Source organism: Homo sapiens, chromosome 15, assembly GCF_000001405.40.
Source record: "Homo sapiens chromosome 15, GRCh38.p14 Primary Assembly".
Taxonomy (NCBI): domain Eukaryota; kingdom Metazoa; phylum Chordata; class Mammalia; order Primates; family Hominidae; genus Homo; species Homo sapiens.
This window is the reverse complement of record NC_000015.10, coordinates 38,323,694-38,345,596: the sequence shown is the minus strand read 5'-3', so window position 1 is coordinate 38,345,596 and position 21,903 is coordinate 38,323,694. Positions and strand designations below refer to the sequence as shown.

At 34.0% G+C, this 21,903-nt stretch overlaps 1 protein-coding gene across 5 annotated transcripts in view; it reads right to left on the bottom strand.

Annotated features, from left to right (window-relative positions):
* The window catches only part of SPRED1 (sprouty related EVH1 domain containing 1), a 104,414-nt gene that overhangs the window by 11,653 nt on the left and 70,858 nt on the right, over positions 1–21,903 (bottom strand). For all 5 annotated transcript variants that reach the window (XM_047432199.1, XM_047432200.1, XM_005254202.4 and 2 more), the window contains 2 exons: positions 20,788–20,834; positions 5,702–5,860 (listed from right to left, as the gene is read on the bottom strand). In XM_047432199.1, coding sequence (XP_047288155.1) covers positions 5,702–5,860; positions 20,788–20,834 — 206 coding nt within the window. The remainder of the gene's footprint in view (positions 1–5,701; positions 5,861–20,787; positions 20,835–21,903) is intronic.

The following is a 21,903-nucleotide window of genomic DNA, read 5'->3' as shown; positions in this document are numbered from 1 at the left end:
CTACTATTGTACTGTGAATAATAATAAAGTCCTTTGTCTGACCCAGCAGCCATGTCTTCAGCAGGATTCACAAAACTAGTACGTTAACTTGCTAGCTTAATCTTTATAGTTCATCAAGGCAGTTGTCTAGTCCTTTTGGCAAGGTTGTTCCTCTGTTGTAGAAAAGGATCCATCAACTTACCCCAGTTGAATGCAATTAAACATTCAAAAGACATAGTTATTTTGTCGAGCATTTACACTCACCAAGTTAGCTTTTAGTGATGATCTCATAAAGACCTATTTTAGGTAGAGAATGTGTTAATCAGGCTACTGCAAGTAACTACAGTCCTCATGATGGTTGAAATAAAATTTTATGTTCTGATTTTCACATATCATTTTCTTAAACTCAATTATTTGAATCTCTGAAGACGACTTTAGTCCTAGTATCCTAAGAAAATAAGGTGTCTGGTCTGCAAGCTGAGGGCCAGATTCTCTACCATGGAAAAACTCATCCTGTGAGGCCTTCTTGGTCACATACAAATGGAAAACTGCTACACTATCCTAACAGCAGTGTGCTGAATGGAACTGTGTTTTATTCCTATTAAGAAACTTCTACAATATTTCTTTACTGTATGTATAGCTACAGTCTACTGCAGCTTTAAAAGAGTAAACCATTCCATTCTAATTCCTGTTAAATTGAGAAGTTCACCAATTATAACACCAGCAAATGTATAAACATCTAGTTATGCAATTCATATAATATAACCCTTGTTTCTCTAAGTCACATCAATCTTGGAGATAAGAAATTATCAATTACAAGGAATTACTTACGAGTATTATTGTTCTATTTAACATTTTTCCTAAGTGCTTTATATACAACATTAATTATTTAATATTCATAACAACTCTAGGAGGTAGATACCGATATTATTCCAATTTACAGATGAGGATACTAAGCTACAAAGAACCTAAGTAGCTTGCCCAAGGCCACACAGCTAGTAAGTAAAGAAGTTGGAATTCAGACCCAAACAGAATAGCTCTAGAGGCCATGTCATAATCCCAAAGCTAAGAGCTGTCTGCCAAATGTTGTTCACTTCTCTCTCTTGCAGTTATTCAGCACTTTTTGTACTTTCTACCTGATGACTACATTCTTCAACCACCCCATCATAACCGCCATCACTATTTTGGGAGAAGAGTTCAGTTCTTTTTCCCCATCAATCAAAAGAAGACCTTTAAATTTACAGTTCTTTCAGCCAAAGAAGGTAGGCCAAATAAATTCCCAGGGCCTGCGATGAGGAATACTGGTATATCATAACATCCCTGTGTTACATTCACCGTGTTTTCTTTCCCTGCTCAACTGTATGAATCAGTGACTTAGTTCAGGATATGCATACTTCCACTCTCTCCTATGTTGAGATGAGTTCTTCTGCCCGCCACTCAATATGTGGGAAAACATTTTGTACTTAAAACTGTTAAACTGAGTATCTCCAGATTCAAATGTCTCACAGGATGCCTGGAAGTTTATAAGCAAGTATGACTCCTGGTGGGTTCCTTTTAATATCTCAAAATCTCTAGCGAAAATATGCAGATTGCTTTTAGCCTTTATTGTTGCAATTATTTTGCTCAAAGTAAAACTGGCTTTCAATTTTTTCCTTCTTGTACCAATATCTTAATTTTTCTTTAATTTTTTATAAAATTTCATAATAAATTTGGATAACATACATAAACTACAGATAATTTTTAATCACTAAAATTAGGTAGTTTGCCAGTTTGTTGAGAGGATTAAAATGAGTTATATAAGTAAAGCACTTAAAACAGTATCTAGCACATAATAGGTACCAGCTATGATAAACATTAATAATAATGATTAGTGAAAAATAAAGCTATAGGGAGCCTGGGAGACTTACCTGGAGCCTTGTACAATCTGTGTCTACCTTGAGTAATTCAAACTGTATTTGCTATGGTATGAGAGTTGCTGGAAGAAAAGCTCCCAGATGATCTAGAAGTTTTTTTGTTCTCTCTCTACTCACTTTTAAGACTTTAGGACAAGAATAGTAGGGCCCACAATGCCGAATTAATCAAGTTTCAATTTCGTTAACTTTCTGTCTCAATAGCAAATCTGTAACTCTACCTAAACTTCACTTCCACCTTGGAAAATGAAGTAATTTTATCTTTTCTCATGCAATTCTCCTGTCTTTACAGTCTCCGTTGTGCCTTTCTCTATCAATTTTTTTCTCTGTCCTGAATCTTTTAATTTCTCCACTTTCTTCATCTTATGACCATATTCATTTCTTGACCCTGCACCCCTCTAACTCCATCTATTTGTTAAGGAAGGCTTTTGTAGTCAAGCTTCTAGAGAAGTGGCTAGCAAACATCATCTTTGTTTCCTCTCCAGTCATGCACACCTCTTAATCCCACTGAAACTGTGGTACGGTTATCAATTACCTTTATAGAGATGAATTTGAATTTTATTGGGGCATTTATGTCGTAAAATATTAACTACTCCATCATTTCCTTTCCTTACTCCATCACTGTCCTCCCTGGGCTTCTGAGACATCCTTTTCTGGGTTCTCCTAATGTGACCGCTCTTTCTTAACTCACTGTCTCAATATGTAGTGATTCCCTACCGCTAATAGTTTTAAAATAGAACATATATAGTCTTCCAAAATAATTCTAACTGTCCTCATAGTTTCAATTTTCATTCTCTGATAATGATTTCCAAAATTTATCTCCAGTCTTTAACTCTCCCTGAGCTTCAAACAATATTTAAAGAGCTACTGGTTGAAAATTTCTAAATCTGTTCAAAGACATCAAGTCACAGATTCCAGAAGCTTTATACAACCAAAACAAAATACATAACCTAATACATAGGTATAGCATAATAAAACATCTGAAAACAATAAAGATATTATTTCTTAATAGGAAGGGTAGAAACTTCTTCTCAATGGTATTACATCTTTTAAATTGATGAAAGAAAATAAATTATAACAGAATTCAATGAAAAGCAAAACATCCTTCAAAAATGAAGGAAATAAAAGATTTTTTTCAGATAAATGAAAACTGAGGTTCAGCAAGCACCAATAAACAGCAAATGATCCTAGATGGAAGTATAATACATAAGGTATTGAAGAATGTCAAAAGTCATAAAAAGGTGAATAAACCTAAATGAATGCTAACTGTTTAAAATAGTATTTTTGCAAGGTTTTAAATTTTATAAAGTTTGTAATGACAGTTACATAAAAGGTAAAAGGGAGGTAAACTGAGTTAAGATACTGTAGATATGTGCATTACCCTGAAAATGTAAAACATTAATACAGGATAGATTTTAAGGATGCAAGATACATTTGTAATCTCTAGGATAACCACTAAAAATACTTAACAGCTGTATTACTAATTAGCTAATAAAGGGATAAGAATCAAGTAGTTAAATATATTTGAATAAGCAAAGTGAAGGAAAAAAAACACAGCAAATGGGGCAAATAAAAAATGAATAAAATGGTAGATTTATATCAATAATTGTGCTAAAAGTAAATGAACAAAATACTCCAATTAAAAGACAAAGACACCCTGGGGGAAAAAAAAAAAAAAACCCAAACCCAACTATATATGGTTTAAAAGAGAGGTCTGAAATGTTGGAAGGAAAAAAGAAAAAAACCTATTGTGAAAGCGCTAACCAGAAGAAAACTGAAGTAATCAGATATCAAAAAAGTATTTTTAGGCAAGAAGTATTACCAGAGATAAAAGAGGATATCTCATAATGACAAAAGGATCAGTTCAACAAAAAAGGCTGCTATACCCAACTACTAAAAATGTGCATTCTTTTTTAATGCACATAAAACACTGACCATATATGCTGGGCCATCAACCAAGTTCCAACAAATATCAAAAAAATGAAGTCATACATGAAATCATCTTTATTTGTAACATCAAAGAGAAAACCAGAAAACCCCAAATATTTAGAAATGAAACAACCCGTTTCTGATAATGGTAAAAATAGGGCATATCATCATTTTGCCAATGATAGGTGTTGGAAGCAGAGTAGCATACGGTAGTTCACTTCTTTATTCATTCTACCTCTGGTATGTCTAAAATTTTCCATTAAAAATGAATAAACTAGAAAATATTGTAAAATGTGGATAGAGGAGTACTTAAATGAAAATTTATAGCCTTAAATACATACATTAGAAAAAGAGAGAAAAAAAGGAAAAAAGCTGAAAAAAACATCAAGAAACTATGCTTTCACAAGAATCTAAAACCAAGAAGGGTAAAGCTAAAACCTAATAGTGTAGGCAAATAGAAGTTAGAAGCGGAAATAAATGAAATAGAAAACAAACATTTAAAAAAGTAAAAAATCCAAAAGTTATCTTTGAAAAGGCTAAAATTTATCAACCCCTAAGCAAGAATAATCAAAGGAGAGAAGGCACTTATTTTCAGTATCAGCAACGAAAAATGGGATATATTTATGCCAATGAACTTGAAAATCTGGATGAAACAGACAAAGTTACTGTAAACTATAACTTGTCATAGCTGACACAAAAAGAATTAGGAAAGGTGAATAGTCCTGTGTCTGTTAAAGAAACTAATTCCGTAATTCAAAACCATCTAAAAAAAAAAAAAAAAAATCCAGGCCCAGGTGGCTTCACTAAGGAATTCTACCAAACATTTAAGAAAGAAATAACTACCAATCTTAAACTCTTCCACATATGCAAAAAAGAAATACTGTCCAACTTATTTTATAAAGCCAGCATACCCTGATAGCAACACCCAATAAAAACATTGTAAGAAAGGGGCCAGGTGCAGTGGCTCATGCCTGTAATCCCAACACTTTGGGAAGCTGAGGCGGGTGGATAGGTCAGGAGTTCAAGACCAGCATGACCAAGATGATGAAACCTCATCTCTACTAATAACTACAAAAAAATTAGCCACGTGTGGTGGCAGGTGCCTGTAATCCCAGCTACTTGGGAGGCTGAGGCAGGAGAATCGCTTGAACCCAGGTGGCAGAGGTTGCAGTGAGCCAAGATCATGCCACTGCACTCCAGCCTGGGCGACAGAGCGAGACTCTGTCTCAAAAAAAAAGAAAAAAAAATTATAAGAAAGGAAAATTATGTTGATCTCTTTTATAAGCGCAGACTTAAAAATCCAAGATGAAATACTGACAAATCGAATCTTATGTATGCTTGAATGTATACATATATGTATGTATATGTATAATGAATACATCACACGGCAACCAAGATGGGTTTATTCCAAGACTGCAAGGTTGCAAACCAATGACTGCAATTTAACAAACAGAATAAGGGAAGAAAAAATAGAATCACTTCAATTACTGCAGAAAAAGCATGTAATAAAAATTTAGTTCTGTAGGAACACAAGGTTATTCTTAATCTAATAAAGAGATCTATAAAAACATATAGTAAACACATCATAATTAATGATAAATATTGAAAGCTTTCCTGTGAGATAAGGGGTAAAATAAGAATGCTTGTGATGTCCCCTTGCTCAATCGCTACACCCATATAGGACTTTATGGTGTATATGTTTATTGTTTCACTCTGGATTTGGCTCATTATAAATCAAATTCTCCTGGTTTTGTTTGTGGGGTTTTTGTTTGTTTGTTTACTGTGTCTGGTAAAGGGCAGATGGTTTTAACGTCCTTATCTATGACATCATTCAATTTCTACACATATAAACAACGCGCCGAAAAAATATTTTATCTTCTTACCTGATTGGCTTGGCTTTGCATGTAGACTCTTCTGGCATTCAGATCTTCAAAGGGAGAAGGTCTTATATTTGAGCTTCTATAAGGCTCACTGGTAACAACTGTCTCTTGCTGAAAAAGGTGATCCTTCACTAGAGAACTGGAAGAATCCTCTTCATTTGCCTATTGGGAACAACCCTCAATGCATTAGTTGCCAGAATAAAAACCACCACCACCACAAAATAAGATACTTTCACTCTAAAAAGTATTTAGCAAGTCAATAAGTATATATCGCTACCATCGCTATGAATAGCAATTCCCAAAACTCAAATGTACATGATTATAAAGCTATGTCAAAATACAATAATATGAACTTTTAGAAAAATTCAACTTCACGAGAAAAATGGGCTTATTAAAAATAACATGAAGAACTAAAAGGCTAACCATGTCATGTAGAAGAGCTAATTATAATAATGCTTTTAACTATAATAAAAAGTGATAAATGTACATAGGAAATGCAGAAATTATTAGGAAGAAAACACAAATCTATGTTTTATTTTGCAAGTTAAAAAAATGTTCAAAGAACTCTGCTGTTGATACAGTGAGTCAAAAGACAGAAGACAACATTAGTCTACTATTGTGTTGAATGAGTGAATGAATAAATTAGACTCAACTTGCTGATTACGTAGAATTTAAATCATGTACTCTTATTAGACTTAGGTTGGGAGATATGCTCAATAAATGACACTAAAGACACTTAAAATGTCATAAACAATAATTTATATAAAATAAATATTAAGTAAGTAAAATTTAGCACACTACAAAACACAAAGTCCTGGAAGGGCTTTGTTTCATTTAATTTTTTAAAGAAACGGGATGTTACTTTTCCCATCACTGTATAATTATTTAAGAAAAAAGCTGATATCCAAGTAAAAGTGGCTGAAATACTTTCACTAGCTTATTCTAAAATAATTCAGAGTAATCACTATAGGGCTAACAATTTTAAGGGTTCAAACCTTTCATAAGCTTTTCTTTTTAAAAGATTTTGTTGGTGCTACTTCTAAAATTAACAAATAAAATTCAAAAATGACTAAGATATTTTAAATTTATAAATGCAAGTTCTAGATTTGTTCCAGAAAAAAAAATAGCCTTGTCTCATTTAATTCCTTTGGCATTCAATTTCTCAATTAGAAAATAATTGTAATACCGATGCTATTTTATGACACTGGGTTATCATAAGGATATAATGGTAATAACTGAAAATGCTCTTGAAACTAAAAGCTGTTATTGTATCAAGGAGTAGGCAATTGAACTATTAAAAATATATCTGAGAATCTACTGTCACTTAAAACTATGTCAAAACTGGCTGCTATTTTTACCCAATTTTCATAACAGCTGTCCCAATGTGTTGTGACAGTTGCTGATAAAACATTGGAAAAATGTTGGCTAAACATTGATACCCAGCAAACATGCTTTCAAAATACATAATCAAAATTGGGAAGAGTAGAAAACTTCAGGAAACGTATTTATTTGTTCCAGAGATTTCTGAAAATAAATGACTCAAATAATTGTCAAAAATCATAAGCAAACTGAATAGAATACTGGGAGAAAAAAAACAAAACAAAACAAAAATGGGTGAGAAAAGACCTAAGTTAGAATCTTGTCTAACTTCTCTAAACCACAATTTCTTTCCTTTTTTTTTTCTTTTGAAATGGAGTCTTGTTCTTGTCACTCAGGCTGGAGTGCAGTGATGCAATCTCGGCTCACTGCAACCTCCACCTCCCAGGTTCAAGCAATTCTCTGCCTCAGCCTCCTGAGTAGCTGAGATTACAGGAGCCCGCCGCCACGCCCAGCTATTTTTTTTTTTTTTTTTTTTTTTTTAGTAGCAATGGGGTTTCACTATGTTGGCCAGGCTGGTCTCGAACTCCTGACTTCAAGTGATCCACCCGCCTCGGCCTCCCAAAGTGCTGGGATTACAGGCGCACAATTTCTTTTTATTATAAATTGAATATCTGCCTCAATAATCTCAGGGTTGGGATACTCAGGAGACTGAAAACTATAAACAATCATAAGTTTTAGGAGTAGTATCAGTGGTAATTATAAGATATTGCTTTTAATTGTGACTTTTTTGAATTATCTTTTACTAAATTATAATAACTGAGAAGTTATATTAAAATTATAAATTAAAATAAAGCTGACTTTAAAAATATCTGCATATGAACAAACTTAGTGTCTTGCTGTACTGAGTTGGGTTATTCTATTTATATCCTGTAAATTAAACATTAACACATTTTACTTTAAATATAATACTTTTTTAAAGAAAATATCACAAGTGTTTATTGCTTCATTATTAAATTGTGTGTAATATTTAAGTAACAAATGATTTTTAAATGTTTACCAATATAGCTGGAATTAACCTATTAACTAGGAATAGTTCATATCGCACAGTGAATTTATAGCTACACACCTAAACGGGTCTCAGTGAATAAAATAACCAAAGCATCATTCAAGTGTCTGATATGGCAAACAAAAGACTGTTTGAAAATGCAAAGTATACAATCTACAATGAAGTATATATTATTCATGAATTGTAAGAATCAAATTAACATTATAGAGAATCCTAAACTAGAAAAAAGTATCTTCCTACTACCTAATTAACTCTTTCAGCAAGTTAAATGCTTAAATGCATATTAAATTTACAGGTTTTTTAAAAAGTGGTGATAAGGAAAACAGGCATACTCATTGCTAATTCTACACACACAGAAGTAAAATAAAATCTGGAACAACTCTTTCTGGAAAGCAATTTTAATAATAATGCAATAAAAAAGCATTTAATAAAATGTACCAAAAGCTTTTAAAACATTCACACATTTTGACCACTTCTTGAATCTAGCAAAGAAAAAAAGAGTACTAAAATGGAAAAAGCTTTAGGCACAAAGTATTTTTCTCAGAATTATTATTTGTTGTTGTTTTAAAGTTTTTTATTTCACTAGTTTTTTTGGGGAACAGGTGGTTTGGTCACATGAGTAAGTTCTTTAGTGGTGATTTCTGAGATTGTGGTGCACCCATCACCCAAACAGTGTACACTGTACCCAATGTGTAGCCTTTTATCCCTCACCACCCCCACCCTTTTCCGAGTCCCTAAAGTCCAACATATCATTCTTATGCCTTTGTGACCTCATAGCTTAGCTCCCACTTATGAGTGAGAACGAGTGAGAACCTATGATGTTTGGTTTTCCATTCCTGAGTTGCTTCACTTAGAATAGTTTCCAATTCCATCCAGGTTGCTGCAAATGCCATTATTTCTTTCCTTTTTATGGTTGAGTAGTATTCCATAGTGTGTGTGTGTGTATATATATAATCAAAATTGGGAAGAGTAGAAAACTTCAGGAAATGTATTTGTTCCAGAGATTTCTGAAAATGACTCAAATAATATATATAACATATATATAAAATATTATATATATAACATATATATAATATTATATATATATATACACACACATACACATACACACACACACACACACACACACACATTTTCTTTATCCACTCATTGATTGATGGGCATTTGGGCTGGTTCCATATTTTTGTAATTGCAAATTATAGTGCTCTAAGCATGCATATGCAAGAAACTTTTTCGTATGACTTCTTTTCCTTTAGGTAGAGAACTATTTTAAATAGTAAAAAGAAACAACTTGAACATGGCATAATAAGGGAAAGGTGAAGTAAATTATGATATGCCCATAAAGTGAAATACGGTGTTGTCATTTGAAATCAGGTTTGGGAATAATATAATATACAATGTAGGAAATGTTTAGTGTTAAAAAGTCAGTACATAAAATTTTATTTACAGTATTATCATAGCCATAAAAAGATAAAAAGTTGGAAATAAAATGAAGGCTAATACTCCTTGGTGGTATGATTAATTTTCCAATTTTGTAAGCCTGCTTTTACATAATTTTAAAATCAAGGTACTGCATACTTTCTCCCTTTTGATATAGAATCATTTTATATTTTAAATTTTTATTATTTTAAACTTTATTAGAGGTGTAACTCAATGAGACTGATCTTTTTTTCAATTAACATGTTTATGAATATTATTGCTAGAATGAGGCAGGTTTAGCATCAATTCTATTCCTGTTTTGCCTTTCTTTTTCAAGAGACAGGGTCTTACTATGTTGTCCAGGATGGCCTCAAACTCCTGGCCTCAAAATAGTAGCTGATACTACAGACGGGTATAGGCCATTGTGCCTGATAAATCATAATATTTAAAAATATAATACAAATATACTGTAACAATGAAATCATTTTTTAGCTTAAATACATTTTCCCTCTTCATCTGAAATAATTAACTGAGACATACTATACCTTTGCCCAAATCCTTCTGAATTCATGCAGAATATGTCTTTATGTCAATAAAATAATTTTCTAAACAAGGTAATCTTCTGAGTATCTTTCACATCCATTTCCTCTTCTCAATACCTACTATTCACTGTCTTAGTGCAAAGCCCTCATTATCTTTTTTTGCCTGTCTTATTTCAGTAGGTTTCTAACTGATTTCCTTGTTTCCAGCCTTTGTCCCATTATTCTTCAGGCAAATCTAATTGGTTTTTCTGTTCAAAACCCCTTAAGGTTTCCAATTACCAAAGCTTTGTTGGAAGACTGGGCACGTACTGGAGAGGACAGGGAGGAGAATAAGTATTAGCTAAGGAACTCTTTTGCAAGGTACATAATTTACACAGTACATAGAAATGAGCCCTCTCTTCCTGGGAAACATGAGACTCACAAGATAAAGCCCAATTTTATTTTCCTATGAAAAAGAAATGGAATGTAAGTATATAAAAACATACTGACCATTCAATTAAAGACACATGAAAGTATAATGCCATTTTTATATACTAACTAGGAAAGATGTAAAAAATAGGTAGTAATACTCAATGTTGGCAAGGGTTTGGAGAAATAGAAATACTTTTTTGCGCTGTTGGTGAGAGTGCAATTTGATAATGGCACTGGAAAAAAAAAAAATCCGTACTTTTTGACCCAGCATTTCTACTTTGAGAGATTGACTGTATATACAGATACACACACACACATACACAATCACAGTAGCACTATTTTTTAACAAAAATAAAGAAAACAAGAATCAAAATATCAAAGAAAACAAGAATCAAAATATCTTATGGCTCTACCAGCAGGGAACTGGTCAAAAATTAAGATATATGACAGAATTCTGTGCAGCTATTAAAATGATATTTTCAGTATTCCCAAGGTATTGTTAAATGAAAAAAGCTAGGTACAGAACAGTCAACATGGCATGATCCCATTTGTCTAACTGATAGAAGGATGAATTGATGGATTCATATTTTTACTTTTAAAATACCAGAAACTATCAATATAGTTCTGTGGAGTTGAGGCTAGAACCAGGGGATTCATGGGTTCTCTCTCCAAGGAGTTATTTTATATGTATAAAGGACTATACACATAATCATACAAAGAATAATAGAACGTGTACATTTGTCACCCAACTTAAGGAAAGTGAACATAACCAATACAACTAATTACTCCTCTGTGTTTCTCTGTATTAGCACCCCCCACCTCTACCACTTGGACCCTCAGCAGATAAACCCTATCTTGAAGTCATATTTTTTTTCATTTTCTTATCTTCTTTACAGTTTTACTACACAAATATCCCTGAACAATATTTAGTTATAGATGCTTTTGAACTGACTGATATCATGGGACATTCTGAAATTTTTTGCTCAATTTTTTTTCAGTGAAATTCATTCACCTTGACATGTGTAGCAATAATCAGTCATTTTGACCTCTGTGTACCAATGATAGCTAAAATATATTGAGCATTTTCTGTGTATCAGACAGTCTCAACTACTTTACATGGGTTAACTCAATCTTCACAATAATCCTTTGAGGTACATAGTATTATCAACCTACTCCGTATGAAGAGACTAAAATTCAAAGGGATTAAGCAACTTGCCTAAAATAAATGTTACTAGGCGGCAGAGTCTGGATAAGAACACTACAATTTATTAATCTATTCTCTGTCTATGGATGTTTGGGCAGTTCTAATTTTTTGCTATTTCAATAAATGTTGCTAGGAATAATAGTGTATAGGCCTTATGGTATATATGACAAAAAGTTTCTCTAGAAGACAAAGAATAGAAATACTGGGTCACAGGATATACATATGTTCCAGTTCTCATAATGAAAATGATTTTTGAGGTGGTTTGAACAATTCATGTATTCACAATCGGTGCTCCATATTCTTACCAAGACTAGGTACTGTCACACTGTTCACTCTTATATGTATTTCTGCTATTTAATTTCTATTATAATGGATCCATCTTATTAAAAATTATATAGTGGCTTTCCTTATGTGAATAAGAAACTCCAAGAATGAACAAAAGAATAAATGAACACACAGTCTGTTACTTTAAAATAGTCAATATACTTTCTTAATATGGCTTGTTCCTACTGATTTTCATCCTCATTTCTTTGCTTTACAAATATTGATGTACCTGTCTCTTTCTGTTAGCATCTGATGTTTCATACTTCTGATTTTCTGGTACATGTCAATTCCTCTGCCCAACAATGACATGCTTCAAATTTTCCACTAAAAAACTGTTTTATGCTTAACCTCAGCTACAAACTCATCAAAAAGTCTTTGTTGATTCAGTCACAAGTTAATCACTCCCTCCTTTGAATTACCTTAAAATTATATGTATCTATCACCCTATATTCTGAGTACTCTTTTACTTACGTTTTTCCTGTGAACCAGTGCTATACTCCGAATGTTTGTGTCCCCCACAAAATTCATATGTGGAAATCTAATTACCAATATGATAGTATTAGGAGGTGGGGCTATGATTCAATTAGGAAGGTAGAGCCCTCATGAATGTGATTAGTGCCCTTATAAAAGAGACTCCAGAGTGCTGTCCTGTTCTTTCCACCATGTGAGGATATAGCCAAGTATCACTTATGAACCTGAAAGTGGGCCCTCACCAGGCACAGTCTGTGCCTTGAGTGGACTTCTGAGACTCAAGAATGGTGACAAATTACTTTTGTTTATAAGCTACCCAGTCACGGCATTTTGCTGTAGCAGCTAGAATGAACTAGGACAACCTGTAAGGAGGGCTCTGCCTAAGTTTTATCCCTGGAGCATAGAACTATATGCCTGGCACACACTGAAAATTCTATAATCTGTGACATGCAAATATCCAATAATCAGATCACATTGATACCTCAGGAGTAAATGTGATACATTAGAAAAAAAGTGTATAGAGAGAGCTCCTTAAGCCATAATAAATCTAAACACTCTAGCTAGCTAGCTAGACAAGGTCTTGCTCTGTTGCCCAGGGTGGAATGCAGTGGCACGATCACAGCTCACTGTAACCTTGACCTTCTAGGCTCAAATGATCCTCTCACCTCAGCCTCCTGAGTAGCTGGGACTACAGGTGGACTCCATCATGCCTGGCTAATTTTTTGCTTTTGGTAGAGACAGAGTCTTACTATGTTGCTCAGGCTGGTTTTGAACTCCTAGGCTCAAGCAGTCTTTCCATCTCATCCTCCCAAACTGCTGGGATTACAGGCATGAGCTATCACACCTGGCAAAAAATATCTTTCAATAACTGTTATTCAAAGTTCAAGTTATAAAAACAATAAAAATTATTTCCATAATCCTACCCCCATGGAATAGCCACTATTACTATTTGACATATATCTTCCTAAACTTCCTAATGCATGCACATGTGTTTACATGCTATGTATAATTTGATCCCATTTATATTGCAGTCTATCCACACAGTGCTCTTTTTCTTCACTCCTTAACATTCCATGGACCTTTCCCCATACCAGTATACAAGTTACACTTTGCAACTGCTGCAAAGAAGTCCAGTATTGCATATGTCATATATTACTTAGCTAATACTCTGATTATGGGCATTTAGGTTTCCAAAATTTTGTTATATGCATTGTAATGTACTTCTTTTTACATATATCTTGGTGTACTTGTATTATTTATTATTAGTTCCTATAAATGGAATTGTTGAATAAAGTATATACACATATTCAATTATATTACCAAGCTACCCTTTGGCAAACTTATGTTATCAACTGAAAACCCCTTAATTGTTTAAGACAGAGGATACATTTCCTTACATCTCTGCCCACACTGGGCCTTACTGCTTACCTAATTTTTATATTAGGGATGTTCAACCTAAGTATAAATGCGTATGATATAATATAATATAATACAATATACCTACCCTAGTAAAAAAAATTCAAAATCTGAGCATTCTTTTGAGCCACATGTCAGTGCTTAAGAAAATCTGAATTTTGGAACATTCTGAATTGTGGATTAGGGATGCTCAACCTGTACTAATAACCAAAACACTTTCTTAATTTGGATATGATTGAGCATAAAGTGTTCAGACTTAGACAAACTTCTATTTTTTTTTTAACTGGGTTATAACCCCTGAAAAGTGACAATTACTATGGAAACATGAACATAACATAAAATTAGGTGGTGAGAAATGCCAAAAATCTTCCACAAGAGCAAAAAGTTTAATATATGATAGGCACAAAGACTGTAAATACACTGGCATGACCTCTAGCTTAAAAAAAATTACATCTATAGCATTTATATATACTCACTTTCAGTGCTTTTAGTATTGTATGCTGGCACAGGCTAATGTGTATTGTCTACAAAGTAACCCATGCCAATAGTTAATGCACAATGAAAATTTGTTTTACTCTCAGCTGCTGGTGTAAGAATTATTCTCTTATGGTTGATAAGTGCCTAGCTTTTTATTTTTCAAAGACTTCTATAGCAATTTTGTGTGTGGAGGCAAAAGGATACAGAGTAAAGCAATAAAATAATTCCAGCTGTAGCTCTTGATCAGAACATAAGGCCAGATGACAGCTGCAGAAAAAACAAAAAAAGATTTTGCTTCTCTCCTCCCTTTGCACCCCTTCTGCTGGTACTAGTTCTTAGAGAAAATTTAGTACTGTTTTGCAAACCCTTGTTAATGTATGATTCCCAATAAATAAGTCAAATGCAGAAAAAAAGGGATATCACAGTCGACATACTGCTCAAGAACATCATTCTTGTAATTGTAAATCACAAATTACAGGTTTGCAAAATGTGTGGCTGGCTCATATACTACTAAAATAAGTTTTTAAATAATTATATCATTGGTTTATTAAATGACAGAAGTGGTTTAAAATTTTCTTTGGTAAAGAGCCCTTATATCTTGGCATTACATGTGTTAAACATGCTACCAAAGCAATTCTTTAGGTATTTAAAATTATATGCTCAAATTATGCTAGCTTAGGAACCATAGAAAAAAAGGAAAAAAATTACTCTAATTCCACAAGCCCAACAAAACCATTATTAACATGTGGTGTAGTGTTTCCAGTTGCAATTCATTTTAAATTTGGCCACAACTGTCTCCTATTCTGTTCATTAGCTTTCTTTAGTTTGATTAGCTTAAGGGTAAGAATAAACCAGCCCCTGAATTTTTAGTTTTCTATTTGTCTATGAGCTTTGACTGGAAACATTAACAGCATATAGCATTTTCTTTAAGCAACCTGAACACAGTGATCTGTGATGAAATAATATAGAAGGAATATAAAAAATGCAGCAAGACACAATGTCTGGCAATAGTGGTAAAGGAAAACAAGTCCTCTAACCTGGCTTATTCAACAGAAGAACTAAACTACGTTTCTAATGAAGAGTTAGTTTGGCTTAATGTGGTATTAGGTTTGCAGAGATTGTTTACTGTCTGTAGATCTACTTTTGAGTTAATAAGCAGTAGTTACACACATCCTGCTAACACATAAATCTTCAACCCTTTAAATGATAAGTATATTTCTAGGATTTTTATCTTAAGGTCACACTCAAAGATACAAATTAAAATGTATGCAAAATGCTGTGGGAAATATTCAATGACGTGAATGATTAAATTGTAGTATAGCTACATAATGTAATAGCTAAGATCAAAGACTCTGAAGTTAGACTGACACAATGAAAATGGCCAAGAGATTTTAAACTAACTGCATTTTAGAAGTATGATCCCAATGGTGCTTTTAAAAGGAAGTATGCATTTGTATACAAGATGCCAGAAGAAAGAAAAACCTAAGCAGAAATATTCAAATATAAACAGTAATTATTTTGGGGTAGGAATGAATGATTCCTAATTTTGTCTTTGTAATTTTCGAAATATGCACATATTAGTCTAAGAGTCAATAAAATTTTAAATAACATTATGCAAAAAGTTATACAGAGAATTTTTTTGCTCTCTTATTGGGCAATAAATAAAACTCAACCTAAGATACAACAGGGCTTTCTGAAAACTGTTAAGGCAGCACTTACTAAAGGATTGTGATAGCTTGCAGTATCATTAAATACTCTGTACTACCTAAATAAAGCCAATCCACTAACTTAGTTTTCAGATATAGAGCCTTATTAAAATATTACCACCTTTGAAAATCATTACATGAACAATTCATATCCCTTGCCTAAAGCAAAATTAGACAAACATAAATCATAGCCTTCTAATCATTTTGGCTCAGAAATGACATTACTTACTTCTAAAGAAGATTAACTTAGTCACGTACTTCTCAATGGCCAAATGAGAAAACATGACAATGTTTTACTTCATATCAATCAGATCTCATCTTTCTTCTGCCCAAAAACATGATATCTAAGATCTTTTCCTCTTTCAACCTCAAGCCTGTTGTGAGGTAAGTTTTGTGGGTTTTGTTCTCAATCCAGCATATCTGAACAATAAGAGCTGTAAATGTTGTGACAACTCTGTCAGCACTTAAAATGATCTTAAAACAAGCATAAGCTAGCATTAAACAACAACAACAAGAAAAACCTAGACCAGGCACAGTGACTCATGCCGTAATCCCAACACTTTGAGAGACCAAGGTGGGTGGGTGGATCACTTGAGCCCAGGAGTTTGAGACCAGCCTGGGCAACGTGGCAAAACCCCGTTTCTACCAAAAAGATACAAAAATTAGCCGCGAGTGGTGGTACGTGCCTATGGCTACTCGGGAGGCTGATGCGGGAGGACCATTTGAGCCCAGGAGGCAAAGGCTACAGTGAGCTGAGATCATGCCACTGCACTCCAGCCTGGGCAACAGAGTAAGACCCTGTCTCAAAAACAAACAAAAAAACCAAAAGCTCTCAATTGTCTCATTAAAATAGTCAAAGAAAAGAAACCAAATGAAAAGAACATTCACACCTTAATATTGGTTAGGTTTTTAAAAATCTTAACTTTTAAGACTTTTCCTCAAAACTTTTGAGTGCCAACTATGTATGTGATTAGCACTATACTACACATCAGGAATAAAAGATAAGAAAGATAGGATTTTAAATTCAAATGATGATCTGTTATAAAACCCTCCAAAGACAGATATGAAATAGAAAGGTAAATTTCTTTGTTGACTTATGATAATTGATGAAGACATTAATTGTTGAAAGCAGAAAGTTGTCCAATAGCTTATGAAGGAAATGTCTAGCAGTTATTGGTGCAGAAATAGGTACTCAAATATTTGTTGAATTAATTAATGAACATCCAAAAGGGAGAGGATTTCCACTCTTGACATTTAATGCCTTCAAAACATTTATTTAAATATAACATTATCATTACTTTTACTGTTAAAAAATTAGATAATGCATTATTCTTTTAAACTATATTAGTTGTCTTTGCAAACAATTGCCAATGAAGTAAACCCGATATAAACACCACCTTAAACCATAATCTGTATTCAAAACATTTATGCCAAGCCCATAAGATGAATTATGAAACTTAACATGATCTATTTTATTCCTAATAAAGTAGCTAGATAAATCAGAACACACTGCAACTTCCCATACATTCCAAAAGAAGAATGACCTTCTAAACCTTTAGAACATCATGAATGAAATAAATGGTACTAAGGTAAATTTAAGAGTTTTCTTTTGCAGTTGTAACTCTGAAAAAATTAGCTATCATTCTAATCGTCTTAAGAAAAAGTTAAACTTCCCTTACTGCTTGTGCATTCTTTACCTATAGATGCATTAAAAATTACCACAAAACTTAGCAGCTTCAAACACAAACATTTATTATCTCATAGTTTCTGTAAGTCAGAAATGTGGGACCAATTTAGCTGGGTGATTCTGGCTCATAGTCCCCATGAAGTTCTAGTCAGGATATTAGCAGTGGCTGTAATTATCTGAAGGCTTGTTTGTGGCTGGAGGACTTGCTTTCAGGATGGTTCACTTCATGTGGTTGTTGCTAGAAGGCTCCAGTTCCTTGCTGGTTGTTGGCAGATGACCTCAATTCCTCACATGGATCTCTTCATACATCTCTCCTCCAGTGTCTTCACGTATAGTGGCTGGCTTCTCCCAGAGTGATCCAAGAGAGAAAGCAAGATGGAATCCAGAAATTTTCTTAGGATCTACCCTCAGAAGTCACACTTCATTTTCAACACATTCCGTGTGGTAGAAGTGAGTCCCTAGGAACAGCCTACACTCAGGAAGAGGGGAATTAGACTCCAATGATGAGAGAAGTATAAAATAATGTTTCCGTATTTTAAAACGACCATACTTCACTGCTCTTTGAACACCAATTATTTATATTTTTCTCATATTCAAAATACACTCTACCCTCCCATGACTCCCTAAAAGTCTCATCTTTTTACAGGAACATCTTCAAAGCTAGGATGTTGTCTTCTAAACAGGTGCAGGTACAGATGAAATTTCCTGGGTGTAGGTAGTTCCTTAAATGCTGCTCCTTGAATATATATTGCTTCTCTCAATCTCGTTTCTGGAACTTAAGAGACAAATTACCTGCCCAACACATACCCAAAAGACAATGGTAGGACAGGCAGAGGGTAACTGCCATGTGACCTTCTTGCTCAAAAGTGGAAAAAATGAGAGGAACAACATAGTTATTGGTGCACATAATTCTGAAATCAAGGTGGCAATGTTAGAAGTTCCTAGAGTGGAACTTAGGACCTGGGAATAATTTTTCATAACTCGTGGCTCTGGCCTGAGATCTTGGTTCTAATTTCTAATTTCCTTCTATTTTCATTGAAAGGTAGGCCAAATTTGCATCTGCATAGTGTTTTCAACTTGCTTCCTGCCAGTGGAATTTTGGGGATCCAAAGGGCCCCTCTTCAATCAAAGGTGGTATTTCTGCCAATATAATGCTTTGAAAAACTTTGTGAATCTTGTAGAGGTCCACTCCATTAGATAAAAAGCACACTCATAAATGAGAAAAACTCTTCTCAACCTTAAACTTCTGCTAAGTGACATACATTTACACTTCGTATAGGACCTACTACTTCAATCGAAAGTTTCTCTGAGGTTCATCTTAAATCCTCCTGAGGTCTTAACAAAGGAATTTACACTCACATCCTTAGACAATGCTTTTCTAAGAAGGCCCTGGATTTGATCTTTGCTTAGAAGCCATTTCTTAATCTTAGCCATTTGACATACTGAGAAACTGAGAATTCTCAAAACCAGCAAAGCCCTGGGTTCTTTTTGTTTAGGAGCCCTTCCTTAGCTTACTTCTCTCATTTACTGTTTATCATAAGCAGTAAGAAGAAATCAGGCAAACAGCTTCAACCTTTTGCTTGAAAACTCCTTAGCTTAACCACTCAGTACATTAGGTACATTTTCTGCCTCCCACATTACTGCCATGACATTGTTGCTAAGCTTTCAGCCACTAAATAAACATTCCCTTTCTTCCATTTTCCAATATGGTTTTCTTCATTTTCATTTAAGCCCTCACTGACGCTCTATCCAAAGATCTTCAAGCTTCCAGTAAGTCTCTTCGGAACTTCACTAAAACTCGCCTCAAAGACCTTCCAGCTTTTATTTACTGTCTGAGTCCTGAGTCCAAAGTCATTCCCATGTTTTAGTATTTGTTACAGCAGCACTCCATTTTCAGGTCTTCAGAATCTGCATTAGTCAAAAATCATTCCCAAATTTAGTGGCTTAAAATAACAAACATTTATTATTTCACAATTCCTGTTGACCAGGAATTCAAGAGCAGCTTAACTAGATGGTTTTGGCTCAGGGTTCCTCATAAGGTTGCAATGAAAACATGCCACAACTGGTCATCTATTAAGGCTTGCTTGGAGCTGAATAACCTGCTTCCAAGGTGGTTCACTAATATGGCTATTGTCTGAACGCTTCAGTTCCTCACCACATGAATATCTACACAGTGTTGCTTGAATGTCCTTTTAATATGGCAGTTAGGCATCCTCCATAATGTGGGTGACCTCACGCAATTAGTTGAAAGGCATAAGAAAAAAGATTGAGGTCCTCTGAAGAAAATAGAATTCGGCCTTCTCATGACTGCAACATCAACTTGTGCCAATTTTCAGCGTGCCTGCCCATTCTGCCAACCCAGCCCACAATCTTATGAACCACTTCCTTAAAAAAGAAAAAAAAAACCCCAGAAACTTTACTTTCTATATAAAGATTGATATCTCTTATCTGAAATGCTTGGAACCAGAACTGTTTCAAATTTCAGAATATTTGTATGTGCATAATAAGACATCTTAAGGATAGTACCCAATTTAAAGATGAAATTTATGTTTATACACCTTATAACACACAGGCTGAAGGTAATTTTATACATGATTTTAAATAATTTCGTGCATGAAACAAAATTCTGACTGCATTTTTAGTGTGATTCATCACATGAGGTCAAGTGTAAATTTTTTCTACTTGAGGTGTCATGTCCATACTCAAAAAGTTTCGGATTTTGGGGCCAGGCACGGTGGCTCAGGCCTATGATCCCAGCACTGTGGGGAGGTGGGTGGGTTGCTTCAGCCCAGGAGTTCGAGACCAGCTTGAGCAACATAGCAAGACCTTGTCTCAAAAAGAAAAAAAGTTTCAGATTTTGGAACATTTCAGATTTTAAATTTTCAGATGAGGGATGCTCAACCTGTATTGGTTCTTTTCTTCTGGAGAAATCTGACAAATAGAGTGTCTTAGAAATATTCTTAGTAATTGATAAGTTTATTGAATAAGGCTAGTGATTTCTTCCACATCCTTTATGTTTACAAATTCCTTCCAAGCCATTACTTACTTGTAAGTCATCTGCCCCTTCAGCTTCATTTTTTGATTCGGGGCATCCTAAGAAAATAGATAAAAGTTAATTAAGTATAGAATTTTTGTCTTAGAGTCCAGTATTAATGACTAATTGATTATGTCATTATAATACTTTAGAAGACTAATCAGAGATCTTTCTGGACTGCCTGGCAATTAAGGTACTGGCCACTTGCATTTGCCCCTGTTAGAATAATGGAGAATAATGTAATTATTTCCCTCCTCTATAGGTAAATTTCCAGCTGCTTACTAACGAGATGTTTTCTCTGAAAGTATACTATCTCTAGCTACCCCTGCCCCTAGTTTCTCCCAAATACTCAAAATTACTAGGCAGATTATAATTACATTGCTCTGGTGATGCTAAGATGTGATTTATTCAATTTTTCTAAATGCTTTGACCCAGGAAACAGTATTTAGTACCCATAACCAGGATTTTAGTTGCTTTAGCTAAGATGGAAAACAAATGAGTTTTAATCCACTATTGACAGTTAATGGCCAATTGTTGTTACTGACTTTTTTGCATCAACGTCTCTGTACAGATTTTCATGCTGTTAAGAGTACCTTTAGTTTCAATAAATTAATAAGAAAGGATTTGTCCTAGCAAAGTACTCTTAGTTCATGCTACCCTTGAGAGGCACAGCTTAGCACGGAGTAGGCATGAGATAAGAAGAAATGCGCCCTTTGGAAAGAGCAGCATATTTTATCTTTTTGTCACAGAAGGTCGAGTAAAAGCAATTTGAGATTGTTGAAAGTCTATATAGCAGCTGATAATAATGCTAGCTAATGTTTTTTAATGTTCAAAAATAACAAGGCAGACTAAGTACTGTAGTCTACTCTACCTAGAAGTTTGTAAGCTACTCCTTATAAATCATTTTTTAAAACATTAAACCCAATCTGTTTGATCCTAGTGAAAGAGGTATACTGTTATGGTACATGAGCATAAACTTAAAAGTAATTCAAAACTTTAAATCATATAAATTCCAGCAGCCATGGATACTATTTTTCTCTCTCTTTAAAGCACTGGTTCTTCAAACCTGGCTAAAGGTTAGAATCAACTGAGGAATTGTCAAAAAATACACTGATGCCAGAGTATGGC